At 42.1% G+C, this 27,509-nt stretch overlaps 2 protein-coding genes across 4 annotated transcripts in view, besides 4 other annotated features; one reads left to right on the forward strand and one right to left on the reverse strand.

Moving 5' to 3' along the window:
- The window catches only part of EEIG2 (EEIG family member 2), a 79,223-nt gene extending 74,403 nt beyond the window's left edge, over positions 1-4,820 (forward strand). The window contains exon 11 of the mRNA NM_001010883.3: positions 606-4,820. Within this exon, the coding sequence (NP_001010883.2) occupies positions 606-648 (43 nt within the window). The 3' untranslated portion in view covers positions 649-4,820. The remainder of the gene's footprint in view (positions 1-605) is intronic.
- Positions 8,036-8,236: a silencer, noted in NCBI's record as "peak351 fragment used in MPRA reporter construct". NCBI's record gives its function as "represses an SCP1 promoter by STARR-seq MPRAs in K562 erythroleukemia cells {active_cell/tissue: K562}" and the evidence as "EXISTENCE:reporter gene assay evidence [ECO:0000049][PMID:32103011]".
- Positions 13,793-26,972, reverse strand: HENMT1 (HEN methyltransferase 1). 3 transcript variants are annotated; one of them, NM_144584.3, is made up of 8 exons: positions 26,682-26,972; positions 25,362-25,460; positions 22,949-23,077; positions 21,084-21,196; positions 20,214-20,348; positions 16,528-16,707; positions 15,709-15,886; positions 13,793-14,489 (listed from the first exon to the last, which is right to left on the reverse strand). In NM_144584.3, exons 2-8 carry the CDS (start codon positions 25,380-25,382, stop codon positions 14,064-14,066), a joined length of 1,182 nt encoding a protein of 393 aa, NP_653185.2. In that variant the 5' UTR covers positions 25,383-25,460; positions 26,682-26,972; the 3' UTR covers positions 13,793-14,063. The 3 variants fall into 3 exon arrangements, with proteins under 3 accessions (NP_653185.2, NP_001096062.1, XP_005270468.1); NM_001102592.2 differs by lacking the exon at positions 26,682-26,972 and adding an exon at positions 26,461-26,591; XM_005270411.2 differs by lacking the exons at positions 25,362-25,460; positions 26,682-26,972 and adding an exon at positions 26,461-26,591.
- Positions 26,310-26,899: an enhancer, noted in NCBI's record as "H3K27ac-H3K4me1 hESC enhancer chr1:109203434-109204023 (GRCh37/hg19 assembly coordinates)". NCBI's record gives its function as "activates a minimal SCP1, AML or CMV promoter by ChIP-STARR-seq in naive H9 embryonic stem cells {active_cell/tissue: H9 hESC(naive)}" and the evidence as "EXISTENCE:reporter gene assay evidence [ECO:0000049][PMID:30033119]".
- Positions 26,555-26,724: a silencer, noted in NCBI's record as "silent region_1136". NCBI's record gives its function as "represses an Ori minimal core promoter by ATAC-STARR-seq in GM12878 lymphoblastoid cells {active_cell/tissue: GM12878}" and the evidence as "EXISTENCE:reporter gene assay evidence [ECO:0000049][PMID:35858748]".
- Positions 26,900-27,488: an enhancer, noted in NCBI's record as "H3K27ac-H3K4me1 hESC enhancer chr1:109204024-109204612 (GRCh37/hg19 assembly coordinates)". NCBI's record gives its function as "activates a minimal SCP1, AML or CMV promoter by ChIP-STARR-seq in naive H9 embryonic stem cells {active_cell/tissue: H9 hESC(naive)}" and the evidence as "EXISTENCE:reporter gene assay evidence [ECO:0000049][PMID:30033119]".

Consider the following 27,509-nt stretch of genomic DNA (forward strand, 5'->3'; position numbering starts at 1 on the left):
ACAAATTGGGAAATGGGTACCTGGTGATAACTTCAGGCAGTAATGGGCCAGGCGTGGTGGCTCATGCCTGTAATCCAGCACTTTGGAAGGCTGAGTTAGGAGGATTGCTTGAGCCCAGGAGTTCTGGTTGCAGTGAGCTTCAGTCATGCCACTGCACTTCCATCTGGGCAACAGAATGAGACCCTGCCATGAAAACGCCACAATATTATGACAGCTGAAGACCATCATCATTAACTCAGTGCAAGTCCTGATGCACTGCCAGAGTCAACATATGCTCTTGGATGAGACCTATTTTAGAATGAATAGATAAACATGTTTGAAGAGCATTTCTTGCCACCATTTGTCGATAGGTCAAGAATTGGGGAATTCTAATAGATTATTGTGGGAATAAGTGTGAGAGAATCAGGATCTAGGCTAATCCAATGTATTAATGATAAACATTTAATATTTCACATAGTTTCTATCCGTGATGCCTTTAAACGTTATGGAAATCAAATCTAGTAGAAAAATACCCAGTGCCCCATCTCTCCAGGGGTAAGGTTACTTGGAACAGTTTCAAACACTGCAGCTCAAAATTTTGAAGTTTTTTTCCACTGCTGTTTTAGGGTGGGGTCTGGAGCTTATGAACAAGTTGTGATCAAACGCTAGAAGTCAAGTCGGTGAAAACATTTCCTTGTGGATTTAAGATGTGAGTAGTTGATGTATCAAGGCATTTTATTCAAGCACTTAATAGAAAATGAACCTCAACTATCAAGAGGAAAGCCAATGCTGGTTTCTTCTCTGGAAGGACCCACCGCCATCCTGTACCAGCCACCAAAGGGGAACATCTACATGGCAGTCTCCAGGCACTGTGCCACTGTGTGCCTTGGAAGCACCTGGCTTCTGTGGTCACTGCACATCATAATGAAAAGCCTGCTTTTTCTTTCAGAACACCCCAGCGGAGAAAACAGCATTATATACATCGGAGTATCATTTTAGGATTCAAGTGTAAAAATCTGTGATCAAGAGGCTCAATAGATTTGGGCTCTATGGTTTGGTTTTTTTAGTTTGAGAGACAGTACATGAATATAACTTAAACCCTATAGATTTTGTCAAGATAGTTGTAATTCCTGTTCTGGAAATCTTCCCTATTACACTACCTACAGCATTGTATAAAGTGTGGGTGTTCATGCTTTGGGAAAATGTTAGACTACAATTTAAACATGTGATGTGCTTATTCATAATTCTCAGTGTATCAGTCATAAATGAAATAACAAGTGCATTTAAGTCAGAGATACGTGAATGGATGTAATGCCGTTATGCAGTATATATTGTTAATTGTCATTAATATTAGATGAGCTGCAGAACCACCCCCAAGCACTACATAAAAGACTCAAAATAAGTTTAACACTTACTGTGTTGGGCACCCTAACAGAAGAGCTATCTTAACTCATTGAATATTAAGATCTGCTGGTTTCAGGAGTCAAAATGTAGAAAAAGAGGAGAATTGTAATATGGTCAGAAACAGAGAAGCCTTTTCTATGTAAATTCAGACTTATCTGAGGCTAACAGTTTTCCGAAGTGGTGGTGGGTAGCAGCATGACAGCTGCTTGCCATGACTGATGCAGACTACTAGGTTTCCATTTTAGCTCTCTGTAGGTACTGTTTTCTTCCCCACTGTGTCGAAAGTGATTTGTTTTGAAGCAAGAGTAGAATATAACATCTATCAAATATAGCTTTTAAAATAAGAATACCTGGTCTGGATCCAGTTGAGCAGCACAGCAGATAAACCTTAGAGTTTTTCTGTTCTTACATGACGGTTTCCATGTGGAAAGATCTAAACTTTCTTGGAATCACTATTAGTGAAGAAAAATGTAGAATCTGTATAACCAGTAATTCCCCAATTCTTACTTTCAAAGTCATATCCAAGAAAGACAATATGTCAGAATAGAATGACTTTGGTCTAGGTGTTTTCACGTTGGCAAAAATAAGGAGGAAATTATATTATTTTAATATCCAAATTTAAAGGTTTGGAAAATTTTGAATAGTTAATATTAGAACTTATGTTGCTGTTTTTTATATTTCAAGGATTGAGTATTCTGCATTAATCCAATACTATTCCAACAAAGAGATTCTGGAAGTTTTTAAAAAATGATACCCTGTTTTATATTTTGAATGTAGAGAGACTCTGAGAGAGAGAATGTTCTGAGTTATACTTTTTATTTTTTAAGATTTATTTTTAAGAATAAAACATTGACCTGAACATTTTAGCCTAACCAAGGGACTTAAGTGGTAAAGACTTGCATTATGTCTTCATGTGAACTGATCCGTTCATTATATATTATGGGAAAAATCAAAGAAAGTTTTTTATAGAGATATGAAGATATTATTTAGAGAGATATTTATTATGACATTTTTTAAAAACATATTTTTCTATTTTCAAAATATTATTTCTAGGCTATATTTTTATTGGTGCTGTGCAAATGATTTTGCAGTTTTGAAAATGATAAAACTAGATTGTAAGTGGGGTTCAGTGAGGACATTCATCAGACACGTAAGAGGTGCTGCAATCAGGGTGATGCCCATCTTACTCATCCTTGGCTGCCCTTGGTCCGACACCTCTCTATACAAGACTGGTTCTCAGTATTTTAAATGGTACAGAATTCTTTTTAAAAAGTAGAGAGATTTTGAAAAGCATAAAAATCATGCCTTTATAATCTTAGCAGCCATCAGATACACCTTGATTTATGTAGTAGTAAATATAACAAATATTTTAATAAATAGAAACACTGATAAGGAAGAAAAAAGAACTAATGTCTATGTCTTCTGTAGTCAGCAAAAGTCTGGATCCATTTTCTATTTTGTGTTCCATTGGCACACTTTGTGTTCAAATTTCAGTGCAGTCCTTTCAAAATACTCGCTAAGGGTTGCCTAAGTGTCTGCCTTACTTTCTGATTGTCCTTTTCTGAGAGCATGGTTAAGAACATCTTAACCATATAGCTGTTGAAAAAATCTGTTTATTAAATAACAAGTTCACTTCTGTTTATGTTTTGAGTTTAGAAAATTTGACTTGAAAATTTAGATTATTAATAAATTTATTTTTAAATATTAAAGTCAAATTTCAAATCACCCAGTGTTGAAGAATTTGCAGATGTATACAATACTTTTTCTAATTATGTCTTTTCTATCTCCATGCCTGGCTTTTTCTAATTATATCCTAGAGAAAAAGACTAATGGTATTTCAAAGCTGTGTATTTGTGACGAGATAAAGAAGAGTCTTAAACATCTTGTTTGGGAGAATGCACAGGCCAGTCAGGAGACCCACCTCCTCCTGTGCCCTGAGCTGCTGAGACCCGACAGATCATGAAGGCTAGTAAAGGGCAGAGAAGGCCCTGAGCCATCAGTTTACACTCGAATTGTTGACTCCCCTTTGTGGTGTTTTTGAAGGCTGCTTATACCAACAGCTAATGTGGATTAGTGCTTATGATCTTGAAAAAGTCTTGACCAAGAATCCTAAACTCCACCACTCCTCCCATTCCAGCTTAACACTATCAGAATAATATCCAAATTCCAGATTTTTTTCTTTTTTACTTTTTTTTCTTCCTTTTTTAAGAGAGACAGTGTCTTGCTCGGTCACCTAGGCTGGAGTGTAGTGGCGCAATCGTTGCTCACTACAGCCTCCCAACTCCCAGGCTCAAATGAGCCTCCCACCTTGGCCTCCCAAAGTGCTAGGACCACAGGCATGAGCCACTGTGCCCAGCCTAGTTTCTTTTCTGTATGCTTTTTTTACAAAACTGTGAGCCACAGAGGTTGACCACTTAGCCAATTTGTTGCTAGAAGGGAGAAAAAAATCTCCAACTAGCCTCCAGACAAAACATACTCAAATTCAAACAGCAGTTAGTTTTAATTAACATACAGAAGTAATTTTAGACTTTCAGATTTCTATGCTGACTAGAACACTTTGCAGGCTGAAGCTGACATTATTACCAAATACTTCATTTAAGTACATACTCTGAAGTGTCAGGCTTCCAGTATATATAGCAACGCTCTGAGAGACAAACTGGGCTCATATGACGGGGTTGCATTTTATTTTCTTAACAGGTCTTTAAATTGGGCAGTTCTGAAATTCTGTTTGGTCAGTTCTAGATGGTACGTCATGTGAATGCAACCAAGCACTGTAGTTGAAATTGTGTTATGCCACTACTCATGTTGTCTTAGGTACTACGCATAATGTTAATAGCTGAGATGTTAAAGAATTTGAAGTCTAAAATATAAAAGATGAATATACCCATATTAATCCTATGTTAAGATGCTCTGGAAATAAAGGCCTTATTCCCTTACACATGCGATTTTTGTAAGATAATATATACACAGTATATTTTAAATGTTTGTGTGGGTGGTCTGTGTAGTTACTCCCCATACAACAAAGCTGACAAAATTTTTAATTTACACAATGTATTCTGCATTTTCAAATGTTTATGTTGTGTATATAGCAAAGAAATTATCTTACTGATATGCGTTGACCAAATCCCATGGAGAAAAGACATCTCATTTGAGGTTCCCCTTCCTCTCATGTGTTTGATTTTTTGGAAGGTGATACAGTATGTGGGTAACCATGCAAATGTTTATGAATAACTTTACTGAAGTGATTCCATCCGTATTCTGTTCTAATACTTGGAGAATGACCTTCATATTTATATATTTTATTTCTTTGTTTCAACTATCCAGTGATAATTCAGGAAATGTTTCCTTTTTTTTTTTTTTTTACAAAAACTTTTTATTTGTAAAATGTTTGTAATAATGTAAAGGTGAACATGTTCAATAAAAATCATATATTAAAAGTTTAGATGTTCTTTATCTTTTAAAATATCAGTTAAGATTCCATCAGAAAATTGTGCCAAGGTGAAATGAAAGAACCAAAATAACTTATCCCTGAGGGTTTATTTATTTATTACCAGGGAGCATGGGACAGATTTGAACGCCCCCAGTGGCGGATTTCTCTTTGAACCCTTGGGCAGCCCATGCAGTGGCATGGACCTGGGCTTTGGGTGAGACAAACCTGAGTCTGAATACAAACTCCCCTCTGAACCTGGCCTCAAACTCCTGAGCTCAAGTGATCCTCCCACTTTGGCCTCCCAAAGTGCTAGGATTGCAGGTGTGAGCCCATGCGCCTGGCCTGAACCTATTTTCTAATCTAGGATGGGCATAACACCAACACTCTTACTGGGTTGTGATGAAAGACACGGGCATTATTGTTAAGAGTATGCTACTTTCTAGGCACTCGGTGGTCCATCAAGCCAAAATTTGCCTTCGTATAGCATCTACACACATATACTAATTTCTAGTGTTGGACATACAGATGCTTATTAAATGTGCCACTATTAGCATATACCCAAAAGAAAGGAAATAAGTGTGTCCGGAATTGGTGGGTTTTTGGTTTTACTGACTTTAAGAATGAAGCCGTGGACCCTCGCGGTGAGTGTTACAGCACTTAAGGTGGCGTGTCTGGAGTTTGTCCCTTTTGATGTTTCGATGTGTTTGGAGTTTTTTCCTTTTGGTGGGTTTGTGGTTTTGTTGGCTTAGGAGTGAAGTTGTAGACCTTTGTGGTGAGTGCTACAGTTTTTAAGGCAGTACGTCTGGAGTTGTTTGTTTCTTTTGGTGGGCTTGTGGTCTTGCTGGGCTTAGGAGTGAAGCTGTAGATCTTTGCAGTCAGTGTTACAGCTCATAAAAGTAGTGTGGACCCAAAGAGTGAGCAGTAGCAAGATTTATTGTAAAGAGCAAAAGAACAAAGCTTCCACAGTGTGGAAGGGGACCCGAGGGGGTTGCCACTGCTGACTCAGGCAGCCTGCTTTTATTCTCTTATCTGGCCCCACCCACATCCTGCTGATTGGTAAAGCTGAGTGGCCTGTTAGGGCACTGATTGGTGTGTTTGCAATCCCTGAGCTAGATACAAAGGTTCACCACGTCCCCATCAGATTAGTTAGATAGGGAGTTTCCACACACAGGTTTTCCAGAGCCCCACCAGAGCAGCTAGATACAGAGTGTTGATTGGTGCATTCACAAACCTTGAGCTAAACACAGGGTGCTGATTGGTGTGTTTACAAACCTTGAGCTAGATACAGAGTGCCGATTGGTGTATTTACAATCCCTGAACTAGACATAAAAGTTCTCCACGTCCTCACCAGAGCAGCTAGATACAGAGTGTCGATTGGTGCACTCATAAACCTTGAGCTAAACACGGGGCTGATTGGTGTATTTACAATCCCTGAGCTAGATATAAAGACTCTCCACGTCCCCACCCGACTCAGGAGCCCAGCTGGCTTCACCTAGTGGATCCCGCACCGGGGCTGCAGGTGGAGCTGCCTGCCAGTCCTGCGCCGTGCGCTCCCATTCCTCAGCCCTTGGGTGGTCGATGGGACTGGGCACCGTGGAGTAGGGGGTGGTGCTCGTCGGGGAGGCTCGGGCCGCACAGGAGCCCATGGAGTGGGTGGGAGGCTCAGGCATGGCGGGCTGCAGGTCCCGAGCCCTGCCCTGCGGGAAGGCAGCTAAGGCCGGGCGAGAAATCAAGCGCAGCGCCGGTGGGCTGGCACTGCTGGGGGACTCAGTACACCCTCCGCAGCCACTGGCCCGGGTGCTAAGTCCCCCATTGCCCGGGGCCAGCAGGCTGCTCCGAGGGCGGGGCCCACCAAGCCCACGCCCACCCGGAACTCCAGCTGGCCCGCAAGCGCCGCACGCAGCCCCGGTTCCCGCTGGTGCCTCTCCCTCCACACCTCCCTGCAAGCTGAGGGAGTGGGCTCCAGCCTGGGCCAGCCCAAAAAGGGGCTCCCACAGTGCAGTGGGGGGGCTGAAGGGCTCCTCAAATGCCACCAAAGTGAGAGCCCAGGCAGGGGAGGTGCCAAGAGCAAGCGAGGGCTCTGAGGACTGCCAGCATGCTGTCACCTCTCATAAGTATATTGAAGAGATACCTGCACTTTTACATTTATTGCAGCACTATTCACAATACCCAAGGTTTGGAAGCAACCTAAGTGTCCATCAACACTTAGATGAATTCACAGAGAAAATGTGGTACATAAATGCAGTAGAGTACTATTCAGCAATAAAAAAGAATGAGATCCTGTCATTTGCAACAACATGGATGGAACTGGAGGCCATTATGTTAAGTAAAATAGGCCAGGCACAGCAAGACAAACTTCAGATGTTCTTACTTATTTGTGGGAACTAGAAATTAAAATAATTGAACTCATGGAGATAAGAGAGTAGAAGGATAGTTACCAGAGGCTGGGAAGGGTAGTTAGGGGGTAGGGTGTGGGAGGTGGGCAAAAAAAATGAATGAATAAGATGTAGTATTTGCTAGCAAAAAAGGGTAACTATAATCAAAAATAATTTAATTGTACATTTTAAGAGTATAATTGGGCCAGGCGCAGTGGCTGAAGCCTGTAATCCCAGCACTTTGGGAGGCCAAGGCAGGCGCGTCACTAGAGGTCAGGAGTTTGAGACCAGCCTGACCAACATGGTGAAACCCCATCTCTACTAAAAATACAAAAATTAGTCGGGTGTGGTGGTGCACGCCTGTAATCCCAGCTACTCAGGAGGCTGAGGCAGGAGAATCGCTTGAACCCAGGAGACGAGGTTGCAGTGAGCCGAGCTCGCACCATTGTACTCCAGCCTGGGCGACAGAGCAAGACTCCATCTCAAAAAAAAAAAAAAAGTATAATTGGATTGTTTGTAACACAAAGGATAAATGCTTGAAGTAACAGATACTGTTACTTCACATTATTAATGATAAATGTTAAAACACATTTACCCTGATGTGATTATTACACATTACATGCCTATATCAAAATATCTCATATACCCCCTATATACACCTACTATGTACCCACAAACATTTTTTCACTATTACAGTTTAAGATCATCACTTAACAAATGGTATTTATGTCACCTATATCCTCGTACAGACTGTTCTATTCCCATAGACCAGAATGTCCTCAGAGAACAAAAACAATGCCAACAGTGTCCCTCTGCTGATATTCAAATTATAATAGCAATTTAATATTAATAAAGAACTATGGTTTAATGTCAGTTTGAACCCAGCATCTTCTCTGCAGATTGTCAGGGCCTCCCTGGACAGTGCAGATTTAAAAAGGTTATATGACTAAAGAGAAAGCACCCTGCTCTTGTCAGGACAGAGTAGGGTATGGACACTCTAGGGGAAAACCTCCACACTCCTCCCCAGTACAGAGGATCACCCAGAATAACTTTGTACCAGATCACAGCAGAACCTGGCAGGACTCTGATCTGCCCCCTCAGATGCTGCCCACATCTCCAACATGGAGTTCTCAGACCCAGCCTTCTTGTTTCGACTTGGCCCACCTTTCTTCAACACCTGGTGGCTTTCTTCCTCTTTCTCTGTCTGTCCTTCCCTTTCTCTTTCACCTGTTTTCACTTCGCTTCCTGTACCTATGCATCACTTATCTGGTAGCAGCACATAATGAAATCTTTCCTTCCATTTGTATGATAGGTAGGAAATCACTGGTGGAATTAATCCAGTCCACATTATACAAAGTTTAACAGAAAATTAAGAAACCTAGGCTGGGCGCAGTGGCTCACGCCTGTAATCCCAGAACTTTGGGAGGCCGAGGTGGGTGGATCATCTGAGGTCAGGAGTTTGTGGCCAGTCTGACCAACATGGTGAAACCCCGTCTCTACTAAAAATACAAAAAATTAGCTGGGCGTGGTGGCGGGTGCCTGTAATTCCAGCTACTTGGGAGGCTGAGGCAGGAGAATCACTTGAACCCGTGAGGTGGAAGTTGCAGTGAGCTGAGATCGTGCCATTGCACTCCAGCCTGGGCGACAGAGTAAGACTCTGTCTAAAAAAAAAAAAAAAAAGAAACCTAAACAGGCATAAATTTAGACAGTCCCTGGGTCAGTGATCTCTATTCCATGTGAACCTATTTAATAGGAAATGTCAGAAAATTTCCCAAATGAATGTTTAGACCTCATTCCCATGCATTTATAACCCAGCTAGGTTGAGGTATTACCTCAACCATTTCTTAAGAAATTGACTTCACCGCAGATCTTCAAACCATTTCAACACTGTTTTTCCTTAGTGTATGCATTGCAGAAAACCTCAAACCTCTGCAGAAAGTTGGCATGCTAAGCTTTTTTGGCATCTTGTTTTTTGAATCTTATATTGGGGAACCCTTAAAGCGAGTATGTGCAGCTACTTAAAATAGGAAAAGTGTGCCACCTTCTGGCCTTGAACGTCTGTTGATTCAGTTCAAATCTACCTGTCTCAAGTGATCCTATCTGCTCCTATTTCACATATATTTCATGAAATTTAGACCAAAGGAAAAACACATTTTTTATCTTGTAATTTTTAAAATTTGAAATAATTTCAACAGACTTTGAAGCATTGCACATTTTGCTTAAAGTAAAATTGTTTCCTTTGGTGTAGGATTAATGAAAAATTCTCTAAGTACAGTTCCATGAAGATTTCTACCCAAAAGCACTGCTTGGGCAGCATGGTAAAGAACATATGTACAGGGCCAGGTGGGAAACAGCAGTGAGAACACACAGAGCCTGTTCAGTGAAAGCAAAGGCTCTGATGGGTCAAGGGTGATGTGTGGGAGCAGGGAGTCATGTTGTTGGGTAAGACAATACAATCAGATCACAGTTTAATCTGACTAATTCTAGCTTGAGTCTAGCATGCAGGATGAAGTTGAGCATGTAGAAAGAAATGAGATTGTTGCAGCAGTGGAGGCAAAAGTGTGCAGGCAGAGTACACACAATTCAGCAGGAACATTAAGAACCCAACAGAGAAATAGAGGACATGAATTGTTAACTTTCAAGATAAAAGGTATTAACACATACTGCTGGCTTCAAAAGCTTGTATTTAACATTTACTATACACATTTCCAACTTCCAGCTCCTAGCAGCTTGTTTGCTAGACCTCAGCAATATTCCCAGCTGTCCCCTTTTTCTAGATATCACCAAGGATGTGCATCATATATGTGAAAGGAAAATATCTTGGACCCCTAAAATCACTAAGCGAAAGGAAAATTCAAACTGGAAACTACTCAGGGCAAACCTAGCTCCCATTCTATTCAAAGTCATCCCTCTGCTCACTGAGGTAGATGCATATCTGACTGCCTCCTTTGGAAAAGCTTATCAGAAACTCAAAAAAATGCAACCATTTGTCTCTCCTCTACCAGTGCCCTGGAAGCTCCCTCCTTGCTTTGAGTTGTCCCCGCCTTTCTGGATGGAACCAATGTACTTCTTACATATATTGATTAATGTCTCATGTCTCCCTAAAATGTATAAAACCAAGATGTGCCCCGACCACCCTGAGTACATGTTGTCAGGACCTCCTGAGACTGTGTCATGGGAGCGTGTCCTCAACCTTGGCAAAATAAACTTTCTAAATTAGCTGAGACCTGTCTCAAATGTTCGAGGTTCACAAATATAATGATAAGCCATGTTTGCTGTAGTTAGCACCTAGCATCCTTCATGAAGGCAGAAACCCACAGTTCTCAGTCTTCAAAAGACCACATTGCCACTGCTGACACTGCTCAGTCCCTGACTTCCTGTCAACTGCTCGACACACAGTCTCCACAGGACCAGGCATAACGAGATAAAGATTTAATGTTCTTGGCACCCAAACTCTAGTTGAAGAAATTGCCTTTATTTGGAGTTCTCCCTTGATAACCGCTGGCAGAACTGAGGGCTGAGAACACTTGAAGGGAGCTGAACTGCTGGGCGTGCCGTGGGGCAGCAGGTTGGCAGTCACAGGAAAGGAGGGGAGGGGGTGGGGCAAGCGAGGGCAGCTGGGGAAGGTGAGCTGGGAGCTGCTGCCAGATGAGAAGGAGGGTAAGGTGGGATGTGTTTGAGGAGCCTCGGAGCAGCATAGAAGGGGCTGAGATTCACATCTCAGTTGTATGGAACTGAACTTGAAGGCAGGCAGTGCTGTGATAACGTAAGCTTTTAGGAAATCATAGAAGTCTCAGAGTTTTGGAGTTACCCAGACTATGGAAATAGGAGTTGGAGGCAAATTATATTCAGATCTCAAGGGCCAGGGAGGTTTCAATACCTGGTAGTGCAGATTTCGTATCTAGTCTGGGAGGTGGGCAGTGGCAGTGAGAACCTTCTCTCAAAGAAGACTGCAGATTAAACTCTGTCTCCTGCTCAGCGCACTTGTTTTCACATTGTCTGTGGTGGCTTTGACTCAAGCAGAGTTGAATAGTTGTGATAGAGACTGGATCACCTGCAAAGATTTACTGTCTAGCCCCAAAAGCACGTCTGGCAACCCCTGACCTCAAGTATTAATGAGCCTTTCAGTGTGCAAAGAAAGGCCTGTATCCAGGTTGGGGGAAAGACAAACTTCTCAAGAAGAACGTAGGTACAGAAGCCGCAGAGAGAGCGGGAAGGCCATGGGGAAGAGCAGCTCCAGCCCCCATGGCAGTCATGAGCACTTAAAATGTTTCCACATGGGGGCTCCAGTGATTAGGCTCGAACAAAGTTAACTGATTAACTTTCAAGAAAGATCAGAGAAACGGCTGGTCTTGGCTAGAAACCTTGGCTCTACCACAGAAGAGCAATGATGAGAAGGGAACTCTAGAGTGAAAACTGCAGAGGCCTAGAAAGGTGAGGACGGACAGAGGGCCTTTGAGAGCAGGAATAGGGTGGGGCTACAAATCTCTTGTTCATGTGCACCTTTGAGCATTCATGGGGGAAGTCTGATAGCAGTATTAGAAATTCAAGGAAAAAACAGCTGGTTTACCAATGTAATGTGATTAAAAGACGGTTCTCATCAGAATCCCTCAATTCTCTCCCCCCTCACCAAATCCCCTTCCCATCTGCTTAATTATTAACCCTTGGAAACTCAGCTTGAGAATTACTCCCCCCAGCCCTCTCCCAGGCACCAACTCTGCATCTCCATAGCCCCCATTCCAGACCGCTCAGGATGTCCTAGCTGTGGCACAGATGGTTATTTGCCAGTGTTCCTTCTCCCCTTGTTCCTTGGCAGACCAAGTGGACACATGACCTCCCAGAATAAAAACTGTATTTCGCAGCTGATACGGTTTGGATCTGTGTCCCCATTCAAATCTCATGTCAAACTGTAATCCCTGATATTGAAGGAGGGGCCTGCTGGGAAGTGATCATGGGGGTGGGTCCTTTGTGAATGGTTTCGCACCATCCCCTTAGTGCTGTTCTCGTGACAGAGTCCGCCCAAGACCTGCTTAAACGTGTTCAGCACCACCCCTCGCTCCGCCTTGCTCCTGTTCCCACCATGTGAGATGCCTCGCCCCGCCCCAACCCTTTGCCTTCTGCCATTACTGGAAGTTTCCTGAGGCCTCCCCAGAAGCAGAAGCTGCTATGCTTCCTGTACACTCTGTGGAACCATGAGCCAATAAACCTCTTTATTACCCAGTCTCTGCTATTTCTTTACAGCAATGCAAGAACAGACTAATATATCAGCTTCCCTTTGTGTGGCCTGAAGACCACATTCTGATCAACAGGAAGTAAGCAGTCGTGTTGCGTAACAACCCACAGCAAGCTTTACCAGACAGCTTGTGTGTGCCCTTTGTCCCTTCTCTTCTTTCTGCTGTTTCAGAATATGAAAGTAGTAGCCAGAGCTCAAATCTCTCTCTCTGTCCCTGGATGGCATACTAAGTAGCCACAACATGCAAGATGGACGTCTGGGTCCCAAAAGTGGCAGAGCTCCCATGCCTGGGGCTTACCTCTGGACTCCTGTGCCTAAGAAATGCCTCTCATTTAAACTACTGTTTTCCCCCATGAGGTGAAGCTATGTTTCTTTCTCCCATTAGTACTACCACCCCAATTCCAACCAGAGAAGTACTACCACCCCAATTCCATCCTCAGAAGAGGGTGCTCAAAAAACAATCCCAGCACTTTGGGAAGCTGAGGCAGGAGGACCACTTGAGCCCAGAAGTTCAAGACCAGTCTGGGCAACATAGTGAGACCCTATCTCTACAAATTTTTAATTAGCTGGGCATGGTGGTACATGCCAGTAGTTCAAGCTACTGGTGGGGAGGAGGTGAGGTGGGAGGATTATTTTAGCCCAGAGGCTGAGGCTACAATGAGCCATGATTGTGCCACTGCACTCCAGCCTGGGTAACAGAACAAGACCCTGTCTCAAAAAAACAACAACAACAACAACAAAACATGGACAGCAATTACATCATGAAGAGGCTTCTATGCCCTCCAACCACCTGCATTCCTGTTTTATTGATGTTCTAGGCTAAATATTACACAGGTTAGAATTTGGCATTAAGGAGATAGAGAATCCCAGAAAAATTTTAAAGCTACTCTTACCCCAAAGAAAAGGTTTTGAACACTATATTTGATAACTTTCTCTTAAATTTTTAATATCACAATTGATATGGTTTGTATTTCTGTCCTTGCCCAAATCTCATGTCAAATTGTAATCCCCAATATTGGAGGAGGGGGCTGGTGGGAGGTGATTGGGTTATGAGGGCGGATTTCCCCCTTGCTATTCTTGTTATTAAACCTGGTTGTTTAAAAGTGTGTAGACCTCCCCAAGCTCTCTTCCTCCGGCTCTAGCTATATAAGACGTGCCTGCTTCCCCTTCGCCTTCCACCAAGACTGTAAGTTTCCTGAGGCCTCCCCAGCTTCCTGCATGCTTCCTGTGCAGCCTGCAGAACTGTAAGTCAATTAAACCTCTTTTCTTTATAAATTACCCAGTCTCAGGTAGTTCTTCACAGCAATGTGAGAACAGACTAACAACAATCAACTCATGGCTTTAACACAAAAAAAATAGGTAAGTTCAAAATTAACATATTACCACATCCAACTTCTTTATTCTTGAGAAAACAAAAAAGTCCAAAATCAAAGGAAAGCACCCGTTTTAAACCCTCATATCTTTCTCAGGGCTCACTGCAGTCTGGCCATATCTCAAGCAGGTCTGTCCAATGGCTTGGAACATAGACTTTTGCAGTGAAACTTTAAAAACATTACTTGAATTAGGATTACACAAAAAAAACTAAATTCTAAGTGAGCACAACTATCGCTGAGACCCTGAAATTTCAGGAAATAAACATGGTTCAAAACTCAAACTGTTCATCAAAATAATTACGCAGGTCAGCCACCACTGCAGAACCATCACTGCTCAGAGGAATTGAGTCAGCAATGACTGATCTCATCATCTCTTCATTAGCACATAAGCGGTTCAACTTGGGATACGCAAGGAGTCTCTGCAGAGGTACGAAAAATTTATCTCCAACACAGAAGGGTGTGGGAGAGTTCTCTATCTTGGCCTTCTCAACCTCTGTGAAGACTGGTCCAAAGCATGGGACAGGGGCCTTTGAGCCACCAATGTCTTTGGGCTTATCACCCCGTTCCCCAGCCTGTTCTTTCCGCCTTGGCAGGTGGCTCACTCTTAAGCTTTCCACTTGTTGGGACACCTCATTAACCAACACAAGTTTAAAGAACCTTTCCTGCTGTAAGCTTGGGTATGAGGTGGTAAAAACCTGAAGGGAAAAAACAAAACACTTACAAGTGTATAATAATATAAACATACATAAATTTTCAAAGCCATCAATAACTTTTTTGCCATGTAAGAATAAATGTACATATTGAATATATGTCAGATCCTACTAATCGTAAATGCCTCAGTTATAATGGGAATCAAATCACTGACACATAGAAATTAACTATCCGATTTGCTTTCTAATGCTAATGCCCAATGTCTCCCAGCCAGGTTTCTACCAAGTCACATGAACCCAGTATTTCTACTTGATATTACAGGGGCAAGGGCAAAAAAAAATGAAAAATGGTTCAGTTAAAAGGGAAAACGTGGGTAAGTGCAGTGACTCACACCTGTAATCTCAGCATTTTAGGAAGATGGGGCAGGAGGATTGCTTGAGGATGGAAGTTCAAGACCAGCCTGGGCAACATAGTGAGACCCTGTCTCTACGGAAAAAAAAACAAAAAACAAAACAAAAAAAAGCTGAGCATGGTGGTGCACGCCTGTCGTCCTAGCTACTTAGGAGGCTCAAGTGGGAGGATCGTTTGTGCCCAGGAATTCAAGGTTACAGTGAGCCATGATTGTGCCGGTGCACTCCAGCCTCGGTGACAGAACAAGACCCTGTCCCTAATTAAATAAAATTTTTAAAGAGGGGGAGGAAGTGTTTCTTCTTCTTCTCTCTTTAAACCAAAAGGGTCTGAGAAGTTTGTAGGCTCAAAGAGTAATGTCCTAAGCCAAGCTGGGGAGAAACTGCTGCTGGCTTTCCTTTTTACTACTGATAATCCTAACAGATTACAAAAAGAGGTTGCTCAACTATTGCTTTCAAGTATTCTGGGTGTTTTTTTGTAGAGATGGGAGATCTCACTATGTTGTCCAGGCTGCACTCGAACTCCTGGGTTCAAGCAATCTTTCTACCTTGGCCTCCCAACATGCTAGGATCACAGGTGTGAGCCACTGTACCCAGCTACTTTGAAGTATTCTAAGACAACCCCAGCAGATCATTCCCTTTAACATGCCTTGAAACACCAAAAGGCCAGGCAGTCTCAAAGGACACCGTAGGCTAACTCGGACAGTAGTCATGGGGCCTGAAGAATTCTCCTAGAGTGAACCACAAAGCAAGGTCATTTACACTCATCTCTACTTTGGGGATTCTTACTCCCCAAAAAAGTTCACCATCCTAATGTATCTCTAGCCCTGATAGCTATCTCACAAAGAATACTCACAGCTTTATAAACATGCTGATCATGCTGCTCTGAAAGACATGATTCTGTTGCCTTTCCTCCATTTTTCCGGAAGATTCCTATCTGGGTACAGTATCCAACATTCTCAGCTCCAGCTGGTGGTTCCCCGACACCAGTAAACTCCACAGAGTAATCATAGCGATTTGCCACATATAAAGCCCTGAAACCAAAACGAGGACAGCAATCATTTTTCTAAATGTAGAGCTACTGTTAAATAAGGAACCATTTCTGGTCAGCAGTAAAAGAGAACATGAAAAATACAATGAACATAAATACTTCTAAGTTACAAATTCCTAACCACCAGTGTATTTATTTCTAAGAGAAGTCAAGGCAAGGATATAGTGTCAGTTTCCAATTTACCCTAAGAATATGGAAGACGAAAGGAAAATTATGGGCAGGGTGTAGGGGTGGACAAGGAGGCAACAAGTGCTCAACCCAACTACCCATTTGGGTTTGCAATTACACCAGAAAACATGACTAAGCCTCAGGAGATATCCCGGGGAGGGGCATGAGGCTCATTCTCACTGTCCCAAACCTTCCCTCTGTTTTGTTCCTCATCTCCATGCCAGTACTACAGATGCCTTCACATAAAAGGTGCCCAGTAACCACACCCCCTTTCCACACTTGCCCAAATGCAATGGTTCCTTTGTGATCTTATTACATACTAAGTCACACATTGGAATCAATTTTATTGGAAGAAAGTACAAAACAATTTAGGTAATGTATGTATATCAATATTTATTTCCTAAGATTTTAAACTCCAACAGGATCCCAAATAAACAAAAACCCTTCTGAACTTACCAGGTCTGAAACTCCATTCTGGTCCACTCAAATTTATGATCTGAATCTCTTAAGGTCACTGATGGAAACAGGGGATTGAATTCAGAGTTTGGTGTGCTGATGACAATCATGGATGGAGACAGGTACCCAAATACCACTTCAGGAAATCTGGCCAGATCACCTGAATCCAAATGTTCTATTCTAAAATGGTTAATGAGAAAGACATAATAAAATCTAGCTTCACTTGCACCTATTTTTCTAATTGATTTATCAAAAACAATTTCCATCTGTGTATCGATTTCTCCCTTCTTTGAATATGTAATAATGCTTATATGACCTAAGAACAATTATTCGGGCCAGGCACAGTGGCTCACGCCTGTAATCCCAACACTTTGGGAGGCCAAGGTGGATGGATCACCCAAGGTCAAGAGTTAAAGACCAGCCCGGCCAACATGATGAAACCTTGTCTCTACTAAAAATACAAAATTTTGCTGGGTGTGGTGGTGCATGCCTGTAATCCCAGCTACTCGGGAGGCTGAGGCGGGAGAATCACTTGAACCCAGGAGGCAGAGGTTGCAGCAAGCCAAGATTGCACCATTGCTCTCCAGCCTGGGTGACAAGCAAAACTCAGTCAAGAAAGATAGAAGAAAAAGAAAGAAGGAAGGAAGGAAGGAAAGAAAGAAAAGAAAGAGAGAGAGACAGACAGAAAGAAAGAGAAAGAGAGAGAAGAGAAGAGAGGGGAAGGGAGGGGAGGGGAGGGGGAAAAAGAACAATTATTCATATATTCTCATCCTTTCCTACCCCCCAACTCCATCTATGATGGCTCCCTTATCCAACCAAGGTCCTTTGCTGTGCTCTATGGCCTCATTATCAATACCTCTAAAAAAAAGTCTCTGAGGTTATACCTCCCTGATATAATGCATCAAGGAGGACAAAATCACTTCTATGATATTCTTGTCAAAAATGCATGCCCTGAATCTGATAATGAGGAGACACTCAGATACAGCGACATTCTAGAAAATAGCACATATTCTTCAGAAATATCAAGGGCAAATAGGACCAGGCAGAAAGGCTGCACAGACCTGCTTCAGATTAAAGGAGCCCAGGCAAACGTGACAAATGCATTGTGTGATCTTGGGCCATTTTAAATTATAGCTAAATTTTAAAATAGCTATAGAAAGACATTACTGGAACAAATGATGAATGCTGAATGTGGACTTAGATTAGGTAATCGTACTGTATCAATGTTCAATTTCCTGATAGAATTACATGGTTATGGTAAGAAGTCTTTGTTCTCAGAATATACATACCAAGGTATCTAGGGTAACAGGACACAGTGTATCCAACCTACTCTGAGATGGTTCAGATAAAAAATACACGTAGAAAGTTATATTTAGGGAAAAAGACACAGTAAATAGGATCAAATATAAATAAGTGGTAAATCTAGGTAAAGAACAGATGAGAATTCCTTGGACCATTCCTGCAACTTCTGTAAATTTGCAATTATATAACAATTAAATGTTACCAAAACCGGGTCTGACAAAGTCTTGCTGCCATCCCATCTAAGTCAGTGTGTCCTAAGCAAACTAGACATTGACAAAAATGCTTCACAGAGGGCTGAGCTTCTATGCAATTCACAAGAAAATTGTAAACCAGCCAGGCACAGTGGCTCACGCCTGTAATACCAGCACTTTGGGAGGCCGAGGTGGGCAGATTACGAGGTCAGGGGTTCAAGACCAGCCTGGCCAATAGGGTGAAACCCCATCTCTACTAAAAATACAAAAAATTAGCCAGGTGTGGTGGCAGGCACCTGTAATCCCAGCTGCTCGGGAGGCTGAGGCAAAAGAATCACTTGAACCCAGGAGGCAGAGGTTGCAGTGAGCCGAGATCGCGCCATTGCACTCCAGCCCAGGCAACAGTGTTTCTATGCCTGACTTATTTCACTTAATGCCCTCCAGGTTCATCCATGACAATTTCATTCCTTTTTTAGGGCTGAATAGTATTCCATTGTGCATATACATCCCTTTTTTTTTTTTGAGACGGAGTTTTGCTCGTTGTGCAATGGCGTGATCTTGGCTCACTGCAACCTCTGCCTCCAAGGTTCAAGTGATTCTCCTGCCTCAGCCTCCCAAGTAGCTGGGATTACAGGGGCCCATTATCACGCCCAGCTAATTTTTTTGTATTTTTACTAGAGACGGGGTTTCACCATGTTGGCCAGGCTGCTCTTGAACTCCTGACCTCAGGTGATCCACCTGCCTCGGCCTCCCAAAGTGCTGGGATTACAGGCGTGAGCCACCATGCCCAGCCTAAATACCACACTTTCTTTATCCATTCATCTACTGATGGACATTTAGGTAGATTCCGTATCCTGGCTACTGTGCTGTTAATAAACATTGGGGTGCACATCTCTCTTCAATATAACTGATTTCTTTCCTTTGGATAAATACCCAGTAGTGGGATTGCTAGATCACATGGCAGTTCTATTTTCAGTTTTTTGAAAAACCTCCACACTGTTTTCAATAACGGCTGTACTAATTTACATTCACACCAGTTTATATGAGTTCCCTTTCTCTGCATCCTTGCCAGCATTTACTGTCTTTTTAATAACAGCCATTCTAAATGGGGTGAGATATCTCACTGTGGTTGAGTTGCATTTCCCTGATGACTAGTGATGTTGAGCATTTTTTCATCTACTTGTTAACCATCTGTATGTCTTTTGAGAAATATCTGTTCAGGTCCTTTGCCCACTTTTTATTTGGGGTTTTTTTGCTGTTGAGATTCTTGTATATTCTAGATATTAATCCCTTGATGAATACTTTGCAAGTATTTTCTCCCATTCTATAGGTTCTGTTCACTCTATTCTTTGCTGTGCAGAAACCTTTCAGTTTCATATATTCCCATTTGTGTATTTCTGTTTGTAGCCTGTGCTTTTGTAGTCTTACTCAAAATCTTTGCCTAGACCAATGTCCTGAAGCATTTCCTGTTTTCTTCCAGTACTTTCATAGTTTTAGGTCTGCAATTAACTCGTTAATCCATCTTGAGTTGATGCTTGTATACAGTGAGAGATAGGAGTCTAATTTCATTCTGCATATGGATATGCAGTTTTCCCAGTACCATTTATTGAGGAGGGTGTCCTTTTGCCAATGTATGTTCTTGGTGTCTTTGTTGAAATCAGTTGGCTGTAAATGCATGGATTTATTTCTGGGTTCTCTCTATTCTGTTCCATTGGTCTATGTCTCTGTTTTTATACCAGAACCACGATGTTTTTATTACTACTGCTTTGTAGTACATTTTCAAGTCAAGTAGTGTGAGGCCTCCAACTTTTAAACTGAATTTTTTAGTAGAGGCAAAAGGCCATGTGTATACCCTTAATTGATTCAGGAAAAAAAATAACTCTAAAGGGAGATGGAGGAGGGGTGAACAGGAGAGGGAGGGTGCAATGTACAAATGATTTAAAAAGTGAGATGTTAACATCTGGATAAAGGGGGGTATAGGTATTCTTGGTACTATGTATTTGTGGCAATTTATCTGTATACTTGAAATTTCTAAGTAAAATGTTGGAAAAGCAGAGTAAAAAGATATTCCCAACCAATGAGCAGTTTTCCTTACAATAATCAAGACCTATTATATTTAGGACACTAAGATCACTGAGACTTATTCAGGCTTTTCAAATGAACAGTTATACAGTGTATCAGTTTAAAACTTACAATTCAATACACGTTATCAAGTCAAATCCAAGCAAACGAGAGTCTCTCTCCACAACGGAGCCATGATACAATGTGATGGTCAAATTCAGATCCCGAGGTTTCAGAAAATCCCCCAGGAAAGGAGCTAACGAATCCCTGCAAAATAATTATTGAAGAAACTTTCTGAACATTATCTATTTAAAAATTCTCACCAGCTACAGAACTCAGATCCTCTGATAATTATCTTCTACCTCTATTGATATAAGTCTGACACAGCCTGTTTTCCTTGTCTTGACATATTAAAGACCAGGTCATGGGGAAACTTCCTCTCACAGTGGGAAGTTACTGGCCAATGAAAAAAAGACTGAATATTTAATATTGTTATATTGTTTTCATTTGTAATACTTTTGGTTTTCCAGCTTACTTTGATTCAGTGATTTTGAGATTTTTGTTCTTTAGAAAAAGAATATTCTTGAAGCAATCTGTGGAAATCTAATGTATATATACTATATATACAAGAGATAGGAGAAATGCTATGGTTCAAAATGCAGGCGGTGGCCTGGAGCCTTGGCCTCAGTGTTCTGGGGCATTTTAAATCCTCTGCTATAAATTATCATAGTGTCCAGCATTAAAGTGATGAGATTTTGCTATCTGAATTTTAATTTACAATGCTTTGATTATTATAATCATTTAATTGAGGCTATTCTTTAAGTTGGTAGCAATAAAATGCAGGTATTTTTAGTGTTATGGCAAAGCCTGATTATTCAGTGAGTTGAAGATCCCTAATGGCCCCAATCTTTTAAAACAAATATAAAATCAACACTTTCTCTAAACTCAATAATGCCATTAGTTTTAGATTAACGCATAATTCTTTCAGAAACTAAGTATTACCCTCTCCATCGTAATTTATCCTCATTAATATCTACTCCAACAAGCAATTCAATGCATGGATTGACTTTTAGCAGCCTTAAGAGTGAAGTATCACCACATCCCAGGTCTGCAACCTGTAGATGAGACAGAATGTTATTTCAAAGACATTTATAGCAAGAGAAGTATGATCAAAAACTTTTTTTTGAGGAGGAGAGAGTGGAGTATATATCAGTAATAAAATAATGAAAGTATTATATGGAAGGATCTTTTTGGCAGAAGATGCTACACACACACACACACACACACACACACACACACACACACACACTAACCTGAAACTTTATAAGCCCATAGGCAAATTTCTATTTGATCACACTAAAATAGAAAGGTCCATTCCTATTCCAGAACAACTGTTATTGTCTATATTGAACTAATGAGAAACAATTACGTACACACAGTTTTCCCATTCAGAATCAGAATTTGGAGTCAAATATTCTCAGCATATTTCAGCAAACAAAGCTTTCTAAAACTTAGCTTTCACCCCTCACACATTTATTTGATTAAACAATTACCTCAAACCATCTGAAATTCCATACTGAACTCTGAGCTGCCAAAAAGCCAATTTTAGATGCTTTACCTGAATACACATGCCTAGATGGCTACAAAGATATAAACTAATACCTACGCCTTTGTGTCCAAGTGTAGAAACAGTAGTGGTGGAGTTAAGGGAAACCTTCACACACAGGAATCTTCACTGAGTCTTCAACATCAAGCAGAAAAAGAAAGCTTTCATCTAGAAATTCACCTTACCCGCATCTAATTCACATCCAATCCATTAGTATAGTAACCAGGTATGGATGGATGGATGTAGATTATATGCAATTATGACTTTACTCTGAAGTTAACCGAGTAGGTTCATTATGATCTAATTTTCTTTTTGAGACGGGCTCTTTCTCTGTTGCCCAGGCTGGAATGCAGGTGATAACAGCTCACTGCAGCCTCAACCTCCTGGGCTCAAGGGATCCTCCCACCTCAGCCTCCTGAGTAACTGGGACTATAGGCACGCACCACCATGCACAGCTAATTTTATTTTTTGTAGACACAGGGTCTCACTATGGTGCCAGGCTGGTCTCAAGCTAGCCACCTGCCTCAGCCTCCCAAAGTGCCGGAATTACAGGTGTAAACCATTGCACCCGGCCCATTATCATCTAATTTTAAAAGAACCACAATACCTGTGGCTACAATACCAGTTTGCCTGATATTCTAACTAAATGCTCTAGAAGTACGGTACCTACAAGATCACATCCAACTATAAAATCTTAAGATTTTCTTCACATTTGAACCTGACAATGCTGAATTCTGTCTGAGCCCTGTGTTTCTGGCATCTGCTAAAGGAATCCACCTGTGCTTTGTGTTCCAGGAAAGGGCTCACTGCAAAAAACCACCCTCCTCCATAAAACTTAGATAAGATTCCTTGTGTTTCCATTCTTTGCCTCAAATGATTATCATGAATACTTGTCCCCACTGATCAATGGGAAGAAAATTCCTTTTTTAACCATACTTTATTCAAACTTTACTTCTTCCCCCAGGGCCCTGCACTACAGCCTGAGGAAACAGCCCCCTCCTTAAGGCTCCCCATTCCACTGTCCTTTCAAACCACCCTCTCATCCCACCTCCCTAGTTTCTAGCTTTGTTCACTTCTCCAGTAAAAGAAAAACCCCTTTTGCTTAACTCTTGAGACACCTGCAGATCTTGTGGTTACGGCATTCTCCCTATTGCAATAACCCCTGTGAAAAGTCTCTCCATACTAATCCATTTGACAAAACACCTCATATGACTAGTCTACTAGTCTTAATAATTAAATGTTTGGAAAGAGAAATACCTACCTTCTTAGGCTCATGTTGATCCACTAAATTTTTAACGAACTGGTACCGCTGTCTGTATAGTGGAGGTTTAAACTGAATTGCCGTCTCCCTGGGAACTTCTTCAAAATTACCGTCAACCACACTACTGCACTGAAGTTCACAAACAAAAAAAGACAGGTTCTAAATCATGCATGACTTCAGAAATTAAATAAGGGGCAAAAAAAAAAAAACTTTATTTCCCCCAATCACTTTGAAAAACACACTGGCCTTCACATACCCTTTGTCCTAAAATCATTAGGTAGCACTGCATTTCCTCCACAGTTCATGTAAGCATCCTCTCATGCCTTTTAACAAGAGAGAATCTAGCTGTATGCTCCCTATAGCTTAGTTTCAGCTGAAGGGAACATTACCAATGAATGTATTCAATGAAAACAATTAGATGACTCCTAACCATAAGGGACCTTTTGTGGAGTGAGTCGCCAAAGCCTGTGGTCCAAGTAGGCAGGAGGCTGGAAAATATTTATAATGACTGACTATATATATATACACACACACATATATATACACACACACACACACATATATGTACACACACTTACACACACACACATATATATACACACACACACACATATATATGTACACACACACACACACACACACACATATATACACACACACACACACACATATATATATATATATTTTTTTTTTCCCCCCAAGACGGAGTCTTGCTCTGTCACCCAGGCTGGAGTGCAGTGGCGCGATCTCAGCTCACTGCAACCTCCGCCTCCCTCAATTCAAGCAATTCTCCTGCCTCAGCCTCCCGAGTAGCTGGGATTACATTACAGGCATGCGCCACCATGCCTGGCTAATTTTTGTATTTAGTAGTGACGGGTTTCACCATGTTGGCCAGGCTCTTCTTGAACTCCTGACCTCGTGATCCACCCGCCTTGGCCTCCCAAAGTGCTGGGATTACAGGTGTAAGCCACCACACCCAGCCAACACTCTTTTTAAGAGAGAGAGAGGATCTCACTATGTCGCCCAGGCTGGTTTAAAATTCCTGGGCTCAAGCAATCCTCTGGCCTCGGCCTCCTGAGTAGTTGGGCATCTGTAGGAACATTCCAACACACCAGCAAAAGACTCTCTCACTGACCAAACTTCAGTCAGGTTCCTCTGAGCCATCTTCTTGAATAGACCTCAAACCCTGGCCCCAATCCTATCTTTGGGCTGCCTAGCCCAGTTTTAATAAGAATACTTCTAAGTCAGTTTAGACAGAATCTTCTACCCCTGATATCTGATCACCCTATCTGGTCAAATTCTTCATCTTTGCAATGTTCTTATTGCAACAGTCCTCAATAAAGTCAGACTAATTTTTTCTTTAACATGACCCCAAGAAAAAACAGAATTTATAAGATTAATCTGTAATAGCTGTTACTATTCCTATACAGCAGTATTATAAAAGTAGTCCAAAGGGTATTTGATATCTGATGTAGCACTGTCCAATAGATAAAATACAAGTAGGCAACTTTCTTGTAGCCCAAGAATTGGAATTATAATCGGAATTAGAATATTTAAACCAATATATCGAAAATATAATTTTTACATAAAATCAATATAAGAGATTTTAGATTCTTGTTTTTCACATTAAGTCTTCAAAATCCAGTGTGCTACATATTTTGTACTTCTGCGTCTCAGTTCCAAAACCTTCATCAGAAATACTTGTCTGTATTGGATTTAAAAACTTTACATTTAAAATATACATGCACATACCCAAGTTATTCCAAACATACTTTTTTCCAATAATGTAATCAAATATCCAATTTTAAACTTAAAATTAAAAATGAAGTTATGAGCCCAGGTGGTCAGCGTTGCAGTTAACCGTGACTGGGCAAGTGCATTCCAGCCTGGGCAACAGAGCAAGACCCTGTCTTAAAAAAAAAAAAAATTAAAGTTCGGTTCCTCAATTCCACTAGCCACATTTCAAGTGCCCACTTGCCATGTGTAGCTACTGGACAGCAGGGAGCTACACCCTAGGTACTCCCAATGTGGTTTCCAAACCAGTGGCATCTTCACCTAGAAACTTTAGAAACACAAAAGCTTGGGCCTCACCCTAGACCTCCTTAAACAGAATCTGCAACTTAACAAAATCCCCAGGTGATCCATATACACAACCACATTGGGGAACACTACTTAGAGTGTTTTTAAAATAGATTTTGCTACTTTAACACCTAGTGATAAAAGTAAAAACATTTATTTTACTTACATACACCAAATGTGACTCTTTCATCTATGTATACCCTTGTTTACCTCAACCAACACCCCGGGAAATGCTAGGACCTAAATGTGATCAATTTTGTTTGCAATTATCTCACAATACATCCAGGTGATAATTCTTAAGAGTCAAAGACGCAGCTAAGAAGGGTGGCATTACCTGTAGATTATTTTCTTCCATTTTGTTTCGAAGTTTTGTTGAAACAAAAATGAAGATTTATCCTTCAAGCTCTATTTGAGAGAATCAGCACTGACTCAGCTGTAATAAATACAAAACCGTTTTTGTAAAGCGATACCTGAAAGAAATAGCTGCCTAGTTCAGAAGGGAAGAACGAAAGCCTCTTTCTTACTCCTTACTACAGTATATAATTTAAATAGAACGCTTAAAAGTAAATAATGAATTCACCTCTGAGTACTCAAAAAAAAAAAAAAAAACACGAAAGCAGGACTCGAACAGATATTTATACACCGAAGTTCATAGCATTATTCACAATAGCCAATCTGTGGATTAAATGTGGACTACCATTTAATCCACAGAATGTATCCAGTATTTTTTCAGACATTCGCAAACAGGCTCAGAAAGCGTAACTTTTCACTACGTCAAACCCTACTAAGAGCGAAAACAGCCATCCTTTCCCTTTACTATCATGAATAGTTCAACTAGATACAAACGGAGCAATCTTAGGAGTTCTGCCCATTTCATTGCTAAGACCCTCAACTTCAAATTTTTTCAAAAATTTTTCCACACATCGTCAAAATGAAATTTCGAGGGGGAAAAAAAGTGTCCTTGATAAACTAGAGATGCTCCAACATCTATTCAATTCACTCACGAACTTGAATTTAAATTTTAGTTCTCTATTGCACATGTGTCTCCAACAACTAGACTTTAATCTGGAATCTAGGCAACATGTTAGTCACCAACTTGTATTAAGAAACCCTGGCCGGGCGCGGTGGCTCACGCCTGTAATCCCAGCACTTTGGGAGGCCGAGGCGGGCGGATCACGAGGTCAGGAGATCGAGACCATCCCGGCTAAAACGGTGAAACCCCGTCTCTACTAAAAATACAAAAAATTAGCCGGGCGTAGTGGCGGGCGCCTGTAGTCCCAGCTACTTGGGAGGCTGAGGCAGGAGAATGGCATGAACCCGGGAGGCGGAGCTTGCAGTGAGCCGAGATCCCGCCACTGCACTCCAGCCTGGGCGACAGAGCGAGACTCCGTCTCAAAAAAAAAAAAAGAAAAAGAAAAAGAAACCCTGCTCACTGAAACCAACGCTTCTGTCTTTGTACGGGCCGTCGCTTCCATCATCCTGCGGTAAGCAGCATGCCCAACCGAAAAAACAAAGCTCGTCGCGGAGCCGCCAGCGTCCTCAACTCAGCGCCGCCCTGACGCCCGCGCACGCACGGCCTCGCTGCGTGACGCTACCGCCGCGGCTACGCCGGCGCCCGCACCCGCGCCTCGGCCTCCCCGCGGGGCTCGCCAACCTCGTGCGCTCTCACGGTCGGCCTTGGGCCCCGGGAGCCTCATGGTGCGCCGAGCTCCGTCCCTCTAGGCTCTCAGTTCCAAGGCGTCGGTTTTGCGTCTCGTAACGGCCGCTGTGGCGCATGCCCAGAAGCCATTTTCAAGGTCCTCTTCCGAACCTTGGCGAGGACCCCTGCGCCTGCCGCGCCGTTGACCCCGCTAGCGTGCGGCTGCGACGCGGCACGGTACGGCAGCTGTTGGCGAAGGCCCCCAACTCCGAGCGCGTCCGCAGACCGCGAGCCGGAAGGCGGCTTGGGCGGCTGTTGAGTTCGTGGCGCTCCCGAGGCGTGGCAAAGGCCTAAAAACGGTCCTGGCCAGCGGAAGGCGGCAAGAGGAGCAGCAAGGCTCCACGCGAGGCGGCCGGCGGCTGGAGTCCCAGTCAGCCTCCGCTTTCATCCCAGAGCAGTCCACGGGGGCCTTAAAGGAATGTAGGCTGGGTGAAGTTGGCCCAGTGACACCTGCGTTCAGAAAAACGTTCTTTCCGCTCCCAACGCCCCCTCTCCACCGCCACCCGACCCCCGAAATAGTTTTCCCCGAGTGTTGTGGATAGAACTGTTGATCTCTTGGAAAAGTTATTGTATCCTGCCATCCTTCCCTCTGGAGACTCCACTTAATATATATAAGTACTTTCTTTCCTGTATATGATGGAAGAGTATTAGGGGGGTGAGGGGAGGGACGAAGCTGCCTTCTTTAGGGAAAAAAGATTGACTTATATTTTGAAAGATGCAAAAGCTGGTGTTTTTGCTACTGAATTAATAGCCTATTAATATGCCACAAATGATATATTGGAA

Source organism: Homo sapiens, chromosome 1, assembly GCF_000001405.40.
Source record: "Homo sapiens chromosome 1, GRCh38.p14 Primary Assembly".
Classification (NCBI taxonomy): domain Eukaryota; kingdom Metazoa; phylum Chordata; class Mammalia; order Primates; family Hominidae; genus Homo; species Homo sapiens.